General features: G+C 35.8%; 3 long non-coding RNA genes and 3 other non-coding genes across 6 annotated transcripts in view; all 6 read left to right on the plus strand.

Moving 5' to 3' along the window:
- Positions 1–18,846, plus strand: part of SNHG14 (small nucleolar RNA host gene 14) — a 595,855-nt gene that overhangs the window by 156,284 nt on the left and 420,725 nt on the right. The window contains exons 14-16 of the long non-coding RNA NR_146177.1: positions 56–193; positions 1,884–2,546; positions 18,475–18,595. This is a non-coding gene — a long non-coding RNA (small nucleolar RNA host gene 14). The remainder of the gene's footprint in view (positions 1–55; positions 194–1,883; positions 2,547–18,474; positions 18,596–18,846) is intronic.
- SNORD107 (small nucleolar RNA, C/D box 107) lies at positions 2,103–2,177 on the plus strand. The gene has a single exon (NR_001293.1). It is a non-coding gene; the product is annotated as a small nucleolar RNA, C/D box 107 (small nucleolar RNA).
- PWARSN (Prader Willi/Angelman region RNA, SNRPN neighbor) lies at positions 2,103–3,899 on the plus strand. Its single transcript, NR_022011.1, has one exon. It is a non-coding gene; the product is annotated as a Prader Willi/Angelman region RNA, SNRPN neighbor (long non-coding RNA).
- On the plus strand, positions 4,969–8,341 carry PWAR5 (Prader Willi/Angelman region RNA 5). Its single transcript, NR_022008.1, has one exon. It is a non-coding gene; the product is annotated as a Prader Willi/Angelman region RNA 5 (long non-coding RNA).
- On the plus strand, positions 5,209–5,275 carry SNORD64 (small nucleolar RNA, C/D box 64). Its single transcript, NR_001294.1, has one exon. It is a non-coding gene; the product is annotated as a small nucleolar RNA, C/D box 64 (small nucleolar RNA).
- On the plus strand, positions 7,034–7,102 carry SNORD108 (small nucleolar RNA, C/D box 108). Its single transcript, NR_001292.2, has one exon. It is a non-coding gene; the product is annotated as a small nucleolar RNA, C/D box 108 (small nucleolar RNA).

An 18,846-nucleotide genomic window follows, 5' to 3' on the forward strand; every position in this document is an offset into this window, starting at 1 on the left:
CATACTGCTCTGGAACTACTTCTAATTATACTTTTTTCTTTGTTTGTTTTTGAAGGGGAAGCATTTCTCCTTGCATTGGTTTGCTGGTATGGATGGCCCTTAGATTTTGGCATGAGTGATTATGCAGCCTATTTGAAGAAAACCTGTTTTCAGGACCTTTTTAATTAAATATGGCCTGTTACATGAGTTAAAGGTAAGTTATAAGAGCTCTAGATTCTGCAAGATGCTTGCTTCTTGTAGTTATTTTGCTTGGTGATAATACATTTTCTTTTGTCTGGAGCTTCCTGGACTTTTTGAGAATCCTGATTGTGATGATATAATAGGAGAAAACTTGGGATATAGATAGTATAATTGAGTGTGGTGAATCTTTTGTTATGGAATGCTAGTCTAAGCTTCTGTGTGTTTCCACTAGGGACACACATCAACATATCAGTCTTAAAACATTCTTGGTAGTTAATGCTTGATGTTACTTAAAAATCATCCTACATTCTTGCATTAAACTACATACACGTGGCTGGGCGCGGTGGCTCATGCCTGTAATCCCAGCACTTTGGGAGGCCGAGGCAGGCAGATCCCGAGGTCAGAAGATCGAGACCATCCTGGCTAACACGGTGAAACCTCGTCTCTACAAAAAATTCAAAAAATTAGCCGGGCGTGGTGGCAGGCACCTGTAGTCCCAGCTACTCGGGAGCCTGAGGCAGGAGAATGGTGTGAACCTGGTGGAGCTTGCAGTGAGCCGAGATCGCGCCACTGCACTCCAGCCTGGGCGACAGAGTAAAACTCTGTCTCAAAAAAAAAGAAAAAAAAAAAAAAAAGAAAATACATACATGTCTCATCTAAAACATGGTTGGTCAACAACTTTCTGATTTCCTGATACACATTTTATTAACCGGCTCCTTAAATATATCCATGTTGCATATCATGTTTGACATGCTTTCATTGTAGCTTATAGAATAATTTCAAATAGAATTTTGGGATAAAAATTATGCTACCTTAAAATAGGTTATGAAGTATTTGAGGTATTCTCTTTTTATATGATAGGTAAACTTGGCTTGGAATTAAAAAGATTTTGAAAGTTGCTTAGGGAGCTCCCTGCTTTTGTGAACTCATTATTCCTTAATTATGATGTCAAATTTCAGAAGTTTGTTATTAACATACCGGTATTTTGCTTTTTATAGATTCTTGTAATAGAATATTACAAGTAGAAACTGATTTACATAGATAATTATGTGAAATAGTGCTGCTTGACTAGGATTTTCATGATCTCATTTCAAAGATTAGCAAAAACACCCTTTACCTGGTATGTTTACCTCTGATACTACCTTCACTGATTTCAGCAGGTAGTCAGTTATAATCCATGGATTGAAGTTTTGATTTATTTATTTATTTATTTGAGACAGAGTCTCACTCTGTTGCGCAAGCTGGAGTACAGTGGTGTGATCTTGGCTCACTTTAGCCTCTGCCTTCCGGGCTGAAGCGATTCTCCTGCCTCAGCCTCCTGAGTAGCTGGGATTACAGGTGTGGGCCACCACACCTGGCTAATTTTTGTATTTTTGGTAGAGACAGGGTTTCACCATGTTGGCCAGGTTGGTCTCAAACTCCTGACCTCAGGTGATCCGCCCAACTCAGCCTCCCGAAGTGCTGGGATTACAGGTGTGAGCCACCGCACCCCGCCATGGGTTGAAGTTTTTAAATGCATGTTTTCCGGTAGTTAATACATTGCTTGATTCTGTCTTATAATTGCATTTCAGTTCTCTTCATCTTGTCCATACACATAATAATGCTTAGTATATAATAAAGCAAGGTATATTTTCATGGGATTTTTGTAGTGGGAGAATGACATCTGAGCCTGAAATAGGATATTTGTGTTGTAACTTTTTCAGTGTCATACGATACCATTTTTTGACCACTTAGTTGATGCCTCTGAAAGGAAGAGAGAATCAGATCGCTAAAATTTGATGTGTCGTCAGTGTGGATCCTACTCAGTAGTGTCACAACGAGGCTGAAAATCATATTAAGTGCTTTTAGGACAGAAACGTAAACTGCTCAGGTAAAATAACCTTATAAAGAGAAATAAGCATATATTGCAGAGGCCTTGGCTAGGTTCATGATGACACAGGACCTTGTCTGAACATAATGATTTCAAAATTTGAGCTTAAAAATGACACTCTGAAATCCAGTCAGTGTGCCTCACTAGACTTTTCGATTTCAAGATTTTCTGCAGAAAATGTTTTGAAAACTTTGAATACTTAAAAATGGCAGGTGTAGTATTGCACTTTGCTAGTTGCTCAGATACCCTTTTTTATTTGTATAGATATTCTGAGTTCCTTTTTTTTTCTACATGTTGTACGTTGTCGAAAGCTAAAAGGAAACTTATCCTTGGATCACGGAAGGCAGAGGCATTTGGTGAGATGGAAACAAGGATGTGTAAAAATGAGACGACCACCTCTCGGATTAAAAAAAAAAAGTGCCAGAGTTCTAGGGTTCTAAGTGATGTCCAGGAAGGAGGAGGAATAATATTTATGGAGCATATATTATGGAACACAGTGAGTATAGTACCTGCCTTTAAATGAATACTGTTGGTTTTTTAGGACAGTTGCTTTTTTTTCTTTTTTCTTCAGCTGTGTGCAGTTGATTAACTTGTACAGAGCCTATCACACAATAGATGTTTAAGAAATATTAAGTGAATGAATGAGGCAGCATTGCTAATTTTTGTATAGTGAGACAGTATCTCACAGTCCAGGCTGGAGTTCAGTGGCATTAACATAACTCACTGCAGCCTTGAACACCTGAGCTCAAACGATCCTTTCACCTTATCCTCCAGAGTAGCTGGGACTACAGTCGCGTGTCAACATGCCTGGCTAATTTTAGTTTTCTAATTTTTTTAGAGTTGGGATCTCACTATGTTGCTTAGACTGGTCTTGAACTCCTGGCCTCATGCCATCCTCTTGCCTCAGCTGGTATTGTAGGTGTGAGCCACTGTGCCAGGTACTAATTTTTTTTATGTTAGAAAACAAGTTTTTAGGTATTTTATAGTTACTTCCTTATGACAATATCTCATCAGAATCTAGGCCTATCTGATATCTGACTCCATACGTTTATACCGTGTAGTCAGCCATTCCCAGATAGAGGTCATTTGAGTTACTTAGTGTTTACCAGCACTTGTTTACTACCTTGCGATGATATTTACAGTGTATTTTTGGGTATGGTTTTGGGGTTATTTGGTTGTTGTTAAAATGCCTGTAATCCCGGCACTTTGGGAGGTTGAGGCGGGTGGATCACCTGAGGTCAGGAGTTCGAGCCCAGCCTGGCCAACATGGCGAAACCCTACCTCTACTAAAAATACAAAAATTAGCCTGGCGTGGTGGCAGGCACCTGTAATCCCAACTACGCAGGAGGCTAAGGCAGGAGAATTGCTTGAACCCGGGAGGCGGAGGTTGCAGTGAGCCGAGATCGCGCCAATGGCACTCCATTCAGCTTGAGTGACAGAGGTGAGACTCCCATCTCAAGGTAAAAAAAAAAAATAGAAATCAGCAACTGCTATTTGAGTTTACAGGAGTGAGAAGTCCTCTCTTGCATGGTGAGATGGGGAACATTTAATTCAATAGAAATATTTGAGACCAGGTATGGTGGCTCAAGCCTGTAATCCCAGCACTTTGGGAGGCTGAGTTGGGTGGATCACCTGACATCAGGAGTTTGAGACTAGCCTGGCCAACATAGCAATACCCTGTCTCAAAGATACAAAAATTACCCAAGCTTGGTGGTGTGTGTCTGTAATCCCAGCTACTCAGGAGGCTGAGGCAGGAGAATCACTTGAACCTGGGCGGCAAAGGTTGCAGTGAGCCGAGACCATGCCACTGCACTCCAGCCTGGGTGACAGAGTGAGACTCCGTCTGGAAAAAAAAAGAAAAAAATGAGATATAAAGTTCAAAGGATGTATTTATTAAGCCAATATAAAGTAAAGAGGTGGGGAATGTTGTAGAAGTATATGTTGATAAAGGGATCAGGTGGTTGTACAATAAGAAGGGGGTTGCAGACATGGAGAAACAGTTCTTCTAGCTCTTCCACTTTCAGTATCATCTGTGTGGGTCACTGGAATCCTTTTTCACAATGCCTGCTTGCCCATGAGTTTTAAGAACTAGTACAGTGTAGAAATGATTAGTAGGAAAAACTTGGCTGGGTTAATTTGCTTTGCTGAGCCGATTCAACTTAAAAAGCGAGGTCCATACTAAGTGCCCAAGAATCAAGAAGGAGGCTCACATTTGAACTTGATGTTTAGTTAATGTGAATCATTTTCTGTTGAACTAATGAGAATACAGTGACCTTGAGGGTTAGGTTGTACATCTGAATTGTTCGGGCTGTTTCCTGTCTTTTGGATGTTTTGTTTGTATAGATATTTTCATTTTATGTTACATCATTTGTTCTTTGGTAGCAAAAATTGAGTTGAAATGATACAGTTCCTGAAATCTATGATTTCATGTTTCGGAGATATGTATCAGGAATAATAGTGTGGGTTCTCATGAGAAAATCTGGATTGCATTACTGTGCTACTTTGGTTTCTTGTCAGAGAAGTTAGTAGTTTAGACCTCCTTCAGAATCCTTTCTTTGGACTTTGTGTTTCTTACGTTGTGCCAGCCTTGATTTTATTTGTCTGTCCTCTGTCTTTCTATACCATTTGTTTACACTTAACTCTAGAATTTTTTGATGCATGTTTTCAGTGTACTCTAGTCCTAAAATTGGTTTACATTTAATTATTGGGGAGAATAGCAAGTTGTCGATAGTATCTGTGGTGGCATTAGTGTATTTCTGTTTCAGTTCTTTGGACAGTTTGCTAGTGGAAATAGTCATTGTATTTAGCTCTGTGAGACCCGACTGGCAGATTGCTGTCTCTCTCTCTCTCTCTCTCTCTCTCTGTGTGTGTGTGTGTGTGTGTGTGTGTGTGTGTGTGTGTATGCGCGCCCGCGTTTGTTTCCTTCATGTAGATTGCTGTGTGTGTCTTTTTCTTCATAATTCCCCTTAATTCTGTGTGCTTTGAATGACACTGTTGTTGTTACTGTTGTTTTATATCCATTGTCACATAAAACTCTTATCATTTATTCTTCCAGGCCAGGGACTGTCCTTATGGGTAGAGATACACTATCTGCAGGAATTTATTTTTTTACGTATTTTTACTAGTTGATGGGAAAGACATTGGGAAAGACCTGGGCTGGATTTGTGATGAGCTGTGTTTACTGAGCATGATGAAGTAAAGCTCAACGTGATTACTCTGAAGTCCAGCCTTACTGTCAGTCTAAGGACTCAGGATACAAATACTCAAAACATAAATTCTTAGACTCTAAATTTCACATGGTTTTTCCTATCAGTACAGGTTAAGGATAATGGCGTGTTGTAGGTTTTTCCAGTGCAATACAAGGAAGTTGGTTCTAGATCCTTTAGTACAGTTAATGTTTTGTAGAGTGTGTTCTATGTTCACTGCATTGGTATGTCTCATCTTTGGCATGATCTTGGCTCACCGCAACCTCCGCCTCTTGCATTCAAGCACTTCTTGTCTCAGCCTCCAGAGTAGCTGGGATTACAAGCATGTGCCAACATGCCCGGCTAATTTTTGTATGCTTTTGTGGAGACAGGCTTTGCCATGTTTGCCAGGTTGGTCTCTAAGTGATCCACCCGCCTCAGCCCCACAAAGTGCTGGGATTACATGCGTGAGCCACCGTACCCAGCCACACCTTTGCTTATTTCTACTATGCATTTCAAGTGATCATTTCAAGAGAATAAGTACTTAGGAGCTCCTATGCTCTTTTTTTTTTTAACCCTGTTGCTTGCATCACCCGGTTCCAACCCTATATGAAAGTTTCATGAGCATGTTTCTGTCACTGAGGCAGCTTCTCCATTTGGCATATAATTGAGAAATTGCTAGTTTGTGGCTGAGACATTGGTTTGAGAGGAGACGTAATTTATATATTTAGCAGAATGCTTAAGTTACATTTCCAGAGATTAATTTAATTCTACTTTTAATTAAGTTAACCCTTTGCTGTATCTTTACAAGACGTAGGTGGAGATTTAATTTTGACTCTTAGATTCAGTTAAGGTGATGAAATTGGCATTATATAGTTTTTGATGCTGAGCCCCACGGAGATTAAAAGATTTGCTAAACACCATGCAATTTTTGAATCACATCTCTAATCTCACATTATTCTGTACTCTATTTTTTGCTTGTATGATTGATGGGTCTTTCATTATCTGTGATTGACATTCTATGAGTAGGTGCTTTTGCTTTGCCTATAAGTCGTTATTATGAAGGAGGAATGGTGAATAAGAAGGTAATTTAGAAAAGCCTATATTAAATATACCATGAACATTGAATATAGCAAGATCTTATTCTCTAGTTGTTATCTTAGTTGATAAATTCTGTATGTGTTATGTGTTTGTGTATACATATGTACATATTAATGATGTGGGTGTTGATACTGTGATCACATGACAAATGACTGGTTTATAGTGAAAAGCTGTTGGGGTTCAGAGAAATGAACATTCTTCTAAAAGTGAGGTAGATAAGTTATTTTATAGTTCTTGCCTTTGAGTCTCTGTTCTTCTGGTAGAAATGTTAGTGTATTTATAACCTCTCAGATTTGTTTGGTTCTCTTAGTGTTCTTGATCCAGGCAGTTAGCGATATGTTGGATGAATTGAGAAAAATGAGTTTTTCCTTTCCTACTAACTGAATTAGATTAGAAATAAGCAGTTAAGTGAGAAAAATAGGGAATTAGTGCCAGATATGTTGAGGTGTAGTGTTGACAGGGGGTCTTTTACCTTCAGATGTTTGGTGCAACTTAGAGAATGCAGTGGTAGTTGCTGGCCCAGCCCATCCAAACAACCTCATTTGTGGGGTGATACTTCACAGATGACTTAAAATAAATCCCCTGAAAATAAGAATCTCTGGAAGAGATGACACGTGTATGTGCGTGTGTGCACGTGTGTGCGTGTGTGCACGTGTGTGTGTGTGTGTGTTTTGGTGGAGTGGTAGGAGGAGGGTTGGCTTAATGATGAGAATCATTATTTCTTGAATTGGATGACACTTTCCATTCCTGCAAAGGGAGCGTGAGGTCCAGCCTTGCTAATTCATGATCAAAGTAATTTGCTGAGAGTAGTGGAAGGAATGAGTTAGCAGAAGATGGCAAATTGCATTAATGAGTAGTAGGAGGAAAACAAATAAGCAAATTTTAATGTGGTTGGAACATGTTCCTGAGTTGTATGAAGGGAGACAGGTAAATTGAGAGTAATGTTATGATTGTTTCATTTGTTGGAAATAAGGAAAACTTGCATGGTTTGAATTGTGGAACAATAGGTGGTGTATGTTAGGAGTCAGAATTATCATTTAACATGTAAGTTTCTGTTTTACTTCAGATAAAGAATGTCAGCTACCTTTCCCATGTTAGCTTCTATACCTTTTCTTGAGGTGACCATAAATAGGTAATATTGTCTTTCACTGAGATTGTTTTAATTAGCGAAGTGTGCTGATTAAATGTCTTTTCTTGATAAATTATTAGAATGAATAAAGGATGGTATTTCTAGATAGCCTTGGTTAGTCAGTGATTTGTTTAAATTTAGTGTGGATAAGAATCACCTGAGGGCTTTTTAAACACAGTTTACTGGGTCCTGACCTTAGTGTTTCTGGCTTATTAGGTATAAGTATGAGAAGTTGATTTTTATCAAGTTTCTAGATGCTACAGATCTAGGAACCATACTTAGAGTGCTATTATATGTCTTTTAATGTACACTGATATGGAAAAAGCAATGATACATCATGTTATCGCATATTTTAAAATGTGATCATGACCAGGGAATCTTGAAAGTTGTCTTATGTAATAATGTAAATCAATGTAGAATACCATATATTTTTTTCTTGCAAGGTTATTATTAATAGGAATGACTATTTGTAGCCAATGTGTTCAAATGCATGGGAGGACGTAAACACTTCATAATTTCCTGGAAATACAGACATATATCACTTAAAATAATACATTTCTAATATAAATTTAAATTATCTACGTGATATGAGGAAACGAGCTTATTTTTGATAATTTTCCTAGCAGTGAATCAACTATACTCATTTGAATCTAAATTAAATTAAATTTGAGTAAATTCAGCCATTTCTAAATTCAGTCCATATAAATTCACTTTGGGTAAAAGAAGACAAAATTCCTGAAAACAGTAGATTAAAAAAATAACATTTTAAGAGCAGGTATGATCTCAATGAATATAGTGTGGTAATTTCTGCCTAATACCTACCCTTTTGGAGGAAGGAAAGGTAATCCTGTTTGTGTTTAATGTTAATTACTGAACTCTTTATAACTTGTTTTATTTATTTATTGTTTGATTTTAAGCATCTGCTTCTGGTGGACTTACATATGTTGGGTTTGGGAAATTTCAACATACAGGTTGGCATTCCAGTGGCTATAGTTGTTTCTTGAAATTTAGTACTGTTTTCCAATGATGATTCTCTTTGGGAATAGGCTGTTCTCTTTTACTTAAAAACTGTAAAATTAGCCACTTCAGTTGAGACTCCTCCAGGTTTGGAAGTGGTGAAGAATATGGATATATTCAGATCAAATCAGTCATTCTCTGTGATACAGCAACTGAACAAGAAACCCAGACTTCAAACAAGCAGACTTCTTTGGGTTGGACTGAATAAAATGAGAAGAAATTACAGAGGATTTGAAAATGTATATGGCCTAGGAATTATTGAAATTATTTTGGAGGGTGGCAACAAATTTGGGACATTGTACTTTCTGTTTTAATGTCAATTGTATAATGTGTAACTCTAGTGAGCATGGCTGGATACCGTGGCTTCACATTTTAGGTAGACTGGGTGTTTTATCTACTGAGTGAATTACAGCCTTCGGCAATGATGTCAAGGTAGCAACAAAACCCAAAAAATCCATCCTTTAGAAATTGTTTTAAGTCACAATGATGATACCTTCTTTAAAAGCTTTGACTTACTGAAATAATGCTTTTCATTTGTCCAAGATGAGTACATAGCAGAATTTGGAAATATGGTTCCAAAAGGCTAAATAGACTGACTTTTTTGATATTTTTCCCTTATAGGGAGAAAGAAACATTAACGGTTTATCAGATGCCTTGACTGTACTTTTTACTGCTTTGTCTTCAAGGCCTAGTGTAATAATTAACATCTAGTATGTGTTTGATGGATAGCCAATTTTTGCTTCATTGGTATGTTGTTACCACAGTCATTGGTAGAGTCAATATATGAATGAAGAAAGTATAACAAATTTGCCCTCTAGTAGAGTACAGGCAAAGTATGGCCGTCAGTTTCACCCTGATTTTTTTTCCTCCATTCTTTTTTAGGGTTTAGGTCAAGAACAAGGGCATTTCATTGTACCACATAGCTGAGAGTAGGGAATTGGGACATACTGTCTTGCTTTAAATTAAAGTTGTCTGTTTCATCAAGTAGAGAGGTTCCTAAGATATTGCCAGATTTCTGACTCGGGGTTTGTTAAAAATAGAAAAGGTAGTTCCTTAAGGTTGTATTTTATTGGATGCCTCCACCTGCTTCAGGCTAGCTCACTGGAGAATAAATATTCCAGGTTAAAAAAAAAAAAGCATGTGTTCACGTGAACTTGTCCTTTGAGCAAACCTGTTGGAAATCAAGAGGTCATTGCTGTTGGAGAGGATAAGAGGGTGTACTTGTTGGTGTGTTAAGAGTAGTTCACAACATAAAAATAAATGTAAATGCATCTATTATATTTGGGTTGGCAAAATATATTGGTTATTTACTCTGTTGATTCCTGTAGTGTACATAAATATGATCTACAACTCTGTGAACAAAAAGGCTTGAAAAATTGTTCTGAAAATGGACAAATCATGAACAGATAATTGAACAAGAAAATAAGCAGAAAGTAAATTTGTGAAATATTTCAAACTCATTTACATTCAGAAACATCTTTTTAAGATCACTGTGATACATTCGACTGTCAATTCTGAAGAGACGTATAAAGGAAATGCCAGCTAAGGAGCAAGGAAACAGCTTTCATTCATGGGCTAAATTGCAGCTTAAAAAAGATGGACCAGGATTATTTCCTTTAGAAACTTACTGTACAAAAGATACTGTTCACCCCATTAGAGAACTGATTTGAAGTTACTCTTCCCTGTGAGGGCTCTGTCATCTTAACTGTATTCACATACTTTCAACTGTTCCCCTTGCTGCTAACCTCAGGTTCTTTAGTTCATCTATCTGGCAGAGCTGATTTGGGGAAAACAAGACAAACCTTCTCAGGTTTTCTTAATAAATAAGCAGTTGTCATGTTTCAAGAGTTTTAGAAATGAGCAATAATCAAGGAAGAGGACAACGATTGCATACGTTTATAATATTTAGAACATCTTTTGCCACAATAAACACTGGAAACCACCCACTTGTGGACACCAAACATTTGGATTTGTATATTTTGTGGCATTCCCTCACTCTAATCCTCTCATCCTTAAAAATTTTCAGAAATTTTTGCAGCAACAAACACTGATTGCAACATATGATTTAGGGTAGATTTATGAACCATTTTTTCACTGAAATACATCAACAGGAGTGAGTAGTCTGAGTGACCACCCCAGCATGGAGAAAACTGTAGTTTACAGATTCTTCTGGAGCATTTTTATTTCTAGATTGCGGTGGAAGTCTAACCCCCCTTGGAGATGTCTGCCTTAAAGGGTCTTTGGCCAGGGTCCTCTGTAGAGCCATAGTCCAGATCTACTCTATTTGTGTGCTCCTTACAACATCAGAACAGCAACTCTCAATCCGGATTCATCCCCAGAATGCCGTCTGAGTCACAGCGTGGCAGGTGCATAAAGAATTATCTACTGAATTGAGAAACATTTCAAATATATAAAACTTGAAATATTTTGGGTAGTCTGTACAAACTCAAGTTGACAAGCCAACCCTGCAGGAATATATGGATAGAAGGGGAAGGATAACATGTTGAATTCAGCTACATGCCTCATCAGCTAGAAAACCTTGGAAGAAAGAAAGATAGATTGATACTTGCCTGAACTTCATCAACCAATAATATTTTTTTTCTTGCTATGGAGAGTCCACTCGCCTTTGGAAGATTTACCAGTAAAAGCCCTGCACATGATATACTTGTGTGCACATGCAATAAGGACATCATTCCCCAACTCCTGCTAGCATTGTGAAAGAGCTCCAAATATTCAAATAATATAAACTTTTTTTCGTGGACATTTAGCTTACGAGTTTGTTTAAATATGTGGGAAAATTATGTTTAGATAATAGTATTGAAATGAGAATGTAAGATACACATTGAATGATAAATGTGTATGAATTGTTCATTGTGCCTTAGGTAAGCCAGACAGTGAAATTAAATGTGTAATAGTTGTATTTTTTTGCATAATCTTGGAATGTAATTAGTTAAAAGCAAACACTTAGATTTTGAACATGAATCTGTTAAGCTTGTTAATGTAGTTGCTGTGGCTAAATAACTGGTTTCCTGGGGAAGCTTCTATTTGCTAGAATTTTATTCTGGAACAGTTGTTAGAAAGGAATTCTCAGGTCACCTTTTAAAGATATACACAATTCTGTATTCACTTTTTGAGTGCATAAGGGTAATAGAAAATGACATGGGAAGCGTTAATTAGAAAAAAAGGCATTTTGTTTATGTGCATTTGAGGATACAGTGTTTGAAGTTTCTAAATAATTGTTTTATGACATTTTCTTGGTACATAGATATTGCTAACAATTAGTTTGCTGAAGTATGTAGAAACATTTTAAGAAATGATTTTAGAAATATAATTGTTAAAGTACCTCTGATGTATATTAAAAATCCTTTTATTTTGGTTTATATTGCTATGGATGTTTTTCTGGGGGAACTTAATGTATACAACTTCTAACTAAGAAGTTTTATTAATGCTGCTTTATGTATGAAAGTCATGGATGTGGATGTTATTTTGTCAGTGGTCTTTCTGTTAAAATTTACGTGGTGTAAGATTTTCTTTTCATGATGGAATTGCCAAAAAGGCCAGCCTCTAGAACACTTACATGTTAAGGGTTGGGTGGGATTTGTATTACTTTGTGTATATAACCGACAGGATTGTGTTACTGAATCTTAACCAGCATAGAGATGGCTGACATTTTGCATTTTGGGGGACATTAAATTGTTACACAATGATGTCATTGGTTACTGATAGGAGTGTTTAGACTCTTAGATGGCTTTGTTAGTATTAGGCAAATATTAGATGTGGATTTAGGAGATAAGAGGGTGGGGTGTTGGAGCCCTGTGTGCACATGAGCATATGTTGCAGGGCCTCCAGACCTAAATCCACGTGAAGATGGTGGTGGTGGTCTTACCTATATGTTAACATTACATTGTAAACAGGTAGACTACTTTCCTTTTGCTAGTGGGAGTGTTAAATCACCTCTCAGAACATTAATTCATTAAATTGCCCCTAAACATTAATTGATTGCTGGTGGATATGCTAAATATTTTTAACATCTATTTTTCTAAATGTATAGATGTCATTTTTAATTCATAGGGGATAGAACCAGTTTTGCTTGCAAAAAGCAAACTGTTCACTGGATCATTGGGCTTAATTTTTAGGTTGTGGTAGATATAATAGAAATGTTCTTACAATTTGTAGTATAATACTGTATATCTCTATAAATATATATGTGACTGTTTTTCTGATAGATGCAACATGGTGGAAATGTCATCATAAATGTCGGTCTGCCTTTGTTTATAGTTTTCAGATGTGTATATGCAGTTTTTTATACAACAGAAAAATTGCCACATGAGTCAAATAGCATAGGTTAGAAAAGTTCTCATTTGCCAAAAATATGTGACTTTCATAATAGTGAGTTGTTTTTGATTTAAAATGTTTCTATCTGTAGAGGCATTTTATAAGTTTTTATGGGGATACTAGCAATGGGATGTGAAACCTGAGTTCATTAGATCATTGGGTGATAATGGAACCCTTATGTGTATACAATATACATGGTTATATGTTTTTTAAAGCATAGGAGCTATTATGTCTGCATGGTTCTAAATATATATACACACACGTAAACACATATCTATATATCTATCTATATAGATAGATAGATAAATACATACATATGTAGTGAAAGCTTTTGTTTCCTCCCTCACATAGGCAGATTATTTGTGTGTGTAAATGAGCAGCTGAAGGGGAATTTTGTTACATGTGTATAAGACAGTCACAATATATAATTGTTTTGCTTTAATTGTTTAGTCTTTGATTTGTAGGAATTGCCAACACGTATATTTGTGTGTATGCAGGTTTATATATAAATACATATCACTGTATAAACAACATTTATTGTCATAGGATAGAAATATTCTTAAGTTGCCAGAGATACTGTATGGCTGCTAAATGTATAGTAGAAAAATGTTACCTTTTGCTTTTTAGCATCTGCATACAGATTACTAATAGGCGTATATTGTGACCAGTAAACCACTAGACAAGGGCATAAACACTTTAGTTTGATCAGTAGAATTGCTATGCCATGTTTAAATGGGATTTATTTGGTTGATGCAGAATATATAATTGTATCTAGAAGATAAATATTACAAAAATATTTTAATATACAATTTCTGTCATATTTTTGGAAATATATTTTTATTCAAAAGTAGAATCATTGTTGCCAATAGAGTTAGCATCTTTGTGTGCTTGTGAGGTTTGATTTTGAGGGTTTTCTTGGTTTTGTTTTGGGTTCTGGAGTTCTAAAAAATGAGATTGTCTTTGTCTAAACAATTTTTATATAAAAATGTACATTTTTGTATTATTTTTTCTTATTCCAACCTAATCGGTGGCTTGTCCCTTCCTGTGTTTATTGGGCTGTTGGGTGCCTGGATAGAGCTGGAGACCATTTAACTGCTGTATGAATAATAGATAAGCGTCTTGAATAACATCTGAATTTCCTAGGTATGTAGAAACACCCACCATGCACATATATGAACATACAGAATATATGAATGTTAAAATATGGTGAAAACAATCTTTTGCTAATAGAAGTGTTAACCTTTATTTTTAAAAAAAATTTGGTGTGTATGTAGAGGTTTATTTGATTGTTAGTTGTGTCCATGTATAATATGTCATCTACCTTTACAGATGTGCAGAAATTTGTTGTATTTGGTGGATATATTTTACTTAAAACTATAGGGCAGAAGCTTTTTATGTTTGTTGAAGTGAAATGGCATACCAAACCTGTGTGGTAGAGTGGGATTTTTAGATTGCTGTGTGTACAGTCAGGTTATATCTTTAAAATACCTATTCGTTATATATTAATATGTAGACATTGCTGATACATATGTATGTAAAAATCAGAGTATTTTTATTAATATAGGCATTAGCTTCTTGATTCACTTGTTTGTTGGGAAGCACTTGGAGAAGGATGTTGAATACTTTGTCATTTCATCTCTGTGACGTACAGTTGTCATGTCAACCCTCCTATCTGCGGGTTTTGCATCTGCAAGCACATGCAGCTGGAAAGTACAGCATTGGCAGAATCTGAAACCCGAGTAAAGAGCACCTCATTTTCATAACCATGGGTTCTGAAGAGCTAAGGGAGTTGAGGATGCACCGATTTTGGTATGGGGGTACGGTACAGGTACAAATCCCCGATGGATATCACTAGACAACTGTACAATCCTCTTTAGCTTTTTTTTTGTTTTATAGACAGTGTGGACGTGCATATATTGCAAGCATCACTTTGTTAAACTATGCTTAACCCTGCAAATGATTTTAAGAGCTCTGTGTGGGTGGCTTTCTTGGGTTTACTATTAAATATCTGTGTTTATCATAGTTGTTCTATAACATTTCAACTTTGTAAATATGTAGTTTGTTGATAAAGAGGATAGAGACATTTTTCTTTTGTTGATAGATTGTTCTTTCCCCTTTGCTTAGTCTTCATTGTGTTGCTGGGATTGTAAAAGACAAATTACTTGCACATATTTAAGCTTATATATTAAATGTATATATGCTGTCATGTTAGAGAGGGAGAGTGGTTCCCTCCCCCACATTTTGATTTAAAAGTAAAAATTAATTTTTATTAAATTGTTTGGGTCAGTTTCATGTAAGAATAATCTCTACATTGAATGGTATATCTTGGCCGGGTGCGGAGGCTCACGCCTGTAATCCCAGCACTTTGGGAGGCCGAAGGGGCCAGATCACGAGGTCAGGAGTTCGAAACCAGCCTGGCCAATATGGTGAAACCCCGTCTCTACTAAAAATACAAAAACTAGCCGGCCGTGGTAGTGCACATCTGTAATCCCAGCTACTCGGCAGTCTGAGGCAGAAGAATAGCTTGAACCCAGGAGGCAGAAGTTGCAGTGAGCCAAGATCGCGCCACTGCACTCCAGCCTGGGCGACAGAGTGAGACTCCCTCTCAAAAAAAAAAAGGTATATCTTATTTTCTTTGATGTACTGAGGTTCATGATGCAATTCATTCTTAAGCATATACTATAGAATCTTTAAATTATATGGTTCTGTGTTCATTTGTGGCATGACAGTAACCAAGACAATTTAGTAAATAATCAGCAAATGAAATATTTAATTTTGAACATCTAGTATTTCTAGATGTATAGAGAGTCTCACGAAGTAGATTTTTTAAGTATCTTGTTGTAAATTTGTTAGTACTGTTGTCTTTTGCAATTAATGTGGCAATGAAATTGATTATTGATACACAGGCTCTTGGAGCTAAACAAAATTTATCGTGTTTTAATTTGGATATTAGAAGGAGGAAATGAAAAGAGACTCTCTACATTTTACCTGTTATTATATAGCTTACCATTATATCAGATATGAATTGCTTTTTTTAAAAAACTTAGATTAAATGTCATGTAAATGCATTTAGTCTTTCCAGATACACTTCTTGATATCATAATTTTTATTTCCTGTTAATATTCAAGATATAAATGACTTCATTAAAGAGATTTTCTACTACCTCTAGGAACTATACAATATTCTGTATGTGTTCCCTTGGTTGCATGACAATATTCAAGACAACTTTGTAAATAATAGATAAAAAATTTTAATTTTTAACATCTAGTCTTTCTAGATGTATAGAGTCTCACAAAGTATAATTTTGTAAATAAGTCATTGTAAAATTTCATGGTTTCATTGTGTTTTGCAAATGTCTTGGCAAAGAACTTGATAAAATTTTGGGCTTCTTGACCTATACATATTTTGGTATCTCTTTATTGGGTTGTTTAGTGTAAGGAAAAAGTTGAAAGAATGTATTTTCAACTTTGAATTGTAATCAGAAAGAAAATATATTTTAACCATTGTTTAGTGCTTCTGTTATATATTGAAAACTTCAGTCTTAATTTTTTAGTTACATTGTTGATAGGGCATTATATAAATATACTTCTATAGTCATTGTAGGAAATGTCTTTTATAAGGAAATATTTCTTCTACCTCTGAATTACACAGTTTTGTATTTACTTGGACTGCATGGCAACATTCAAAAAACACTTTGAATAACAGATAAAAATGACATTTTCTAAAGCTCTAGGTTTGCTAGATGCATGAAGTCTCAGCAAAGTATAAATTTGTAAATATTTCATTGTAAAATATCATAAATTGACTCCTTCAAGTGTTCAGTAGTACAATAGGTAATCAATAATTGGCCTCTTGGGACTGACTGTAACGTTTTGGTGTTTGTATGTTTTGAGACAGAGCAATAGATTGCCTCCATATCTTTTAAACATTCAGGTCTCTTGTATAAGAAAAATAACCATTGTGGGGTTTTTGTGCATCTTATACTAATATGAAACAAACAAAACCCCCTGGATATTTTATCCTTAGAAAGATAGAGGAAGACAGGAGAAGGGAATGGTCATTGTAAATTAGATAGATATATTGAGTGTTAGAAGATTATTTAAATAATTGTTCTTTTGTTATTTGTACTCTTTGCAAATTTATTTAAATGCATATTCATGTATATCATAAGTATATATTCACATGCATGTCTAAATTTAGTGGCATAGATCTATCTCAGGGGTATTAATCTTTCATTCGTGTACTGATTTGTGTTTTATTTTCATTTAAAAAATTGTGGAACCAGTGGCTGGGCATGGTGGCTCATGCCTGTAATCCCAGCACTTTGGGAGGCTGAGGCGGGTGGATCACCTGAGGGTCAGGAGTTCGAGACCAGCCTGGCCAACATGGTGAACCCCCCCGTCTCTACTAAAACTACAAAAATTAGCTGGGCATGGTGGTAGATGCCTGTAATCCCAGCTACTCGGGAGGCTGAGACAGGAGAATTGCTTGAACCCTGGAGGTGGAGGTTGCAGTGAGCCGAGATTGCACCATTGCACTCCACCCTAGGCAACAAGAGCAAAACTCTGTATAAAAAAAAAAATTAAAAAAATTGTGGAACTAGTGTTTTATTTCTAAGCTTGCAGATATTTCTAGAATTCCACTTACTGTTACATCTAAATGTATGCTGATTTTTCGTTAAATAATAAGCAGGTCTGTAAACATTTTCTTTTCTAACCTCTTTCCATATTTATATGAGTATAGAAAAACTGTGGTTATGAATATTTTTTACTTTTTGATAACTTTTAAAAACTATCAGATATGTGATAATCAGATAGATTTCAAGTTTACTTACGGTGTAAATTAGGAAAATTTTTATAAAGATTCTATCCAGTATTGATCAAAAGTATAAATTGTGTGTCTTTTTAAGCAGCAGTTTGGCAATGACAATCAAATTGATACTATGTAAAAGTTTTGAAATGTTATAGCTGGCTACTGGGGTTTTTATCTATTCCAGTTCTCGAAAATTTACCAAATATAGGTTGGCTGTAAAATCATAACTATCTGAGGTATCTGTCAATAAATCAAAGATTGCAATGATGATAGCTTCTTTAACATGAATGTAATTCTAACAGTAAAAAATTTCTATATGGAATATGTTTTGTAGTCCTAAATTGATATTTTATATCATTTTTCAGTGAACAAGTAGTTGTTTACAGGTGTCTGTGCATATGTCTCAAGTTTTTCTAACTAAAATATTAATAGTTAAGTCTAAAAATATGAATTATACGTGGGGCTTGTCATTCTGACATTTAATACTTCAGCGTGGTGATAATGGTGATATAATATACTGTTTGAAATTGTAACACATGAGTTAAAATCAAAAGATTGATAAGTACATATTTGTATATTGCTACATGACAAAAATCTAGGAAGAATATGATTCACATGAAAATTCTTTGGAAGGACATGACAGACTTTTAACAGTCCTGTATAGTGAAAGGAGAATAGAACGACTACTTCTACTTTCTGTATCTGAAATTTTCAAAAGCTATTTCAAAATGAACATTTAAACAACAGGAAATTTTAGAGACAACCACTTTGTGCCTGTCTTCATCCTTGACATTCAACATCCTAGGAACAATGGGCTGTTGTATTCAACTTCTTATTCCCAACAGCCATTATGAATGGTTTTTGATTGATCTCACAAAGAGCATGTGCTTTAGACATTAATGCAGCGACTACCATGAAACAGAGTATTGGATTACCTAAGGAAAGAAGCAGAGGATGGAATTTGAGGTAGGTGTCAAACAGTGAAATTTCGTTTGAGAAACAGATGAGTGAAAGAAAATAGTAACTGAAACATTCATTCTATAAGGAGAGTACATTTTAATACTGGCGATGCTGTATTTGTGGGTACTGACTAGATCAAGATGTTAGAGGAGGTGTCTCTTGGGATAAGTTGGAAGTTATCCTTCATTAATTTGGTATAAACTGAAAACAGATTGCTTCTTTCCTTTTAAAGTGGTTGAGTCTCTGATGGGTTTAAA

This window comes from Homo sapiens, chromosome 15 (genome assembly GCF_000001405.40).
Source record: "Homo sapiens chromosome 15, GRCh38.p14 Primary Assembly".
Classification (NCBI taxonomy): domain Eukaryota; kingdom Metazoa; phylum Chordata; class Mammalia; order Primates; family Hominidae; genus Homo; species Homo sapiens.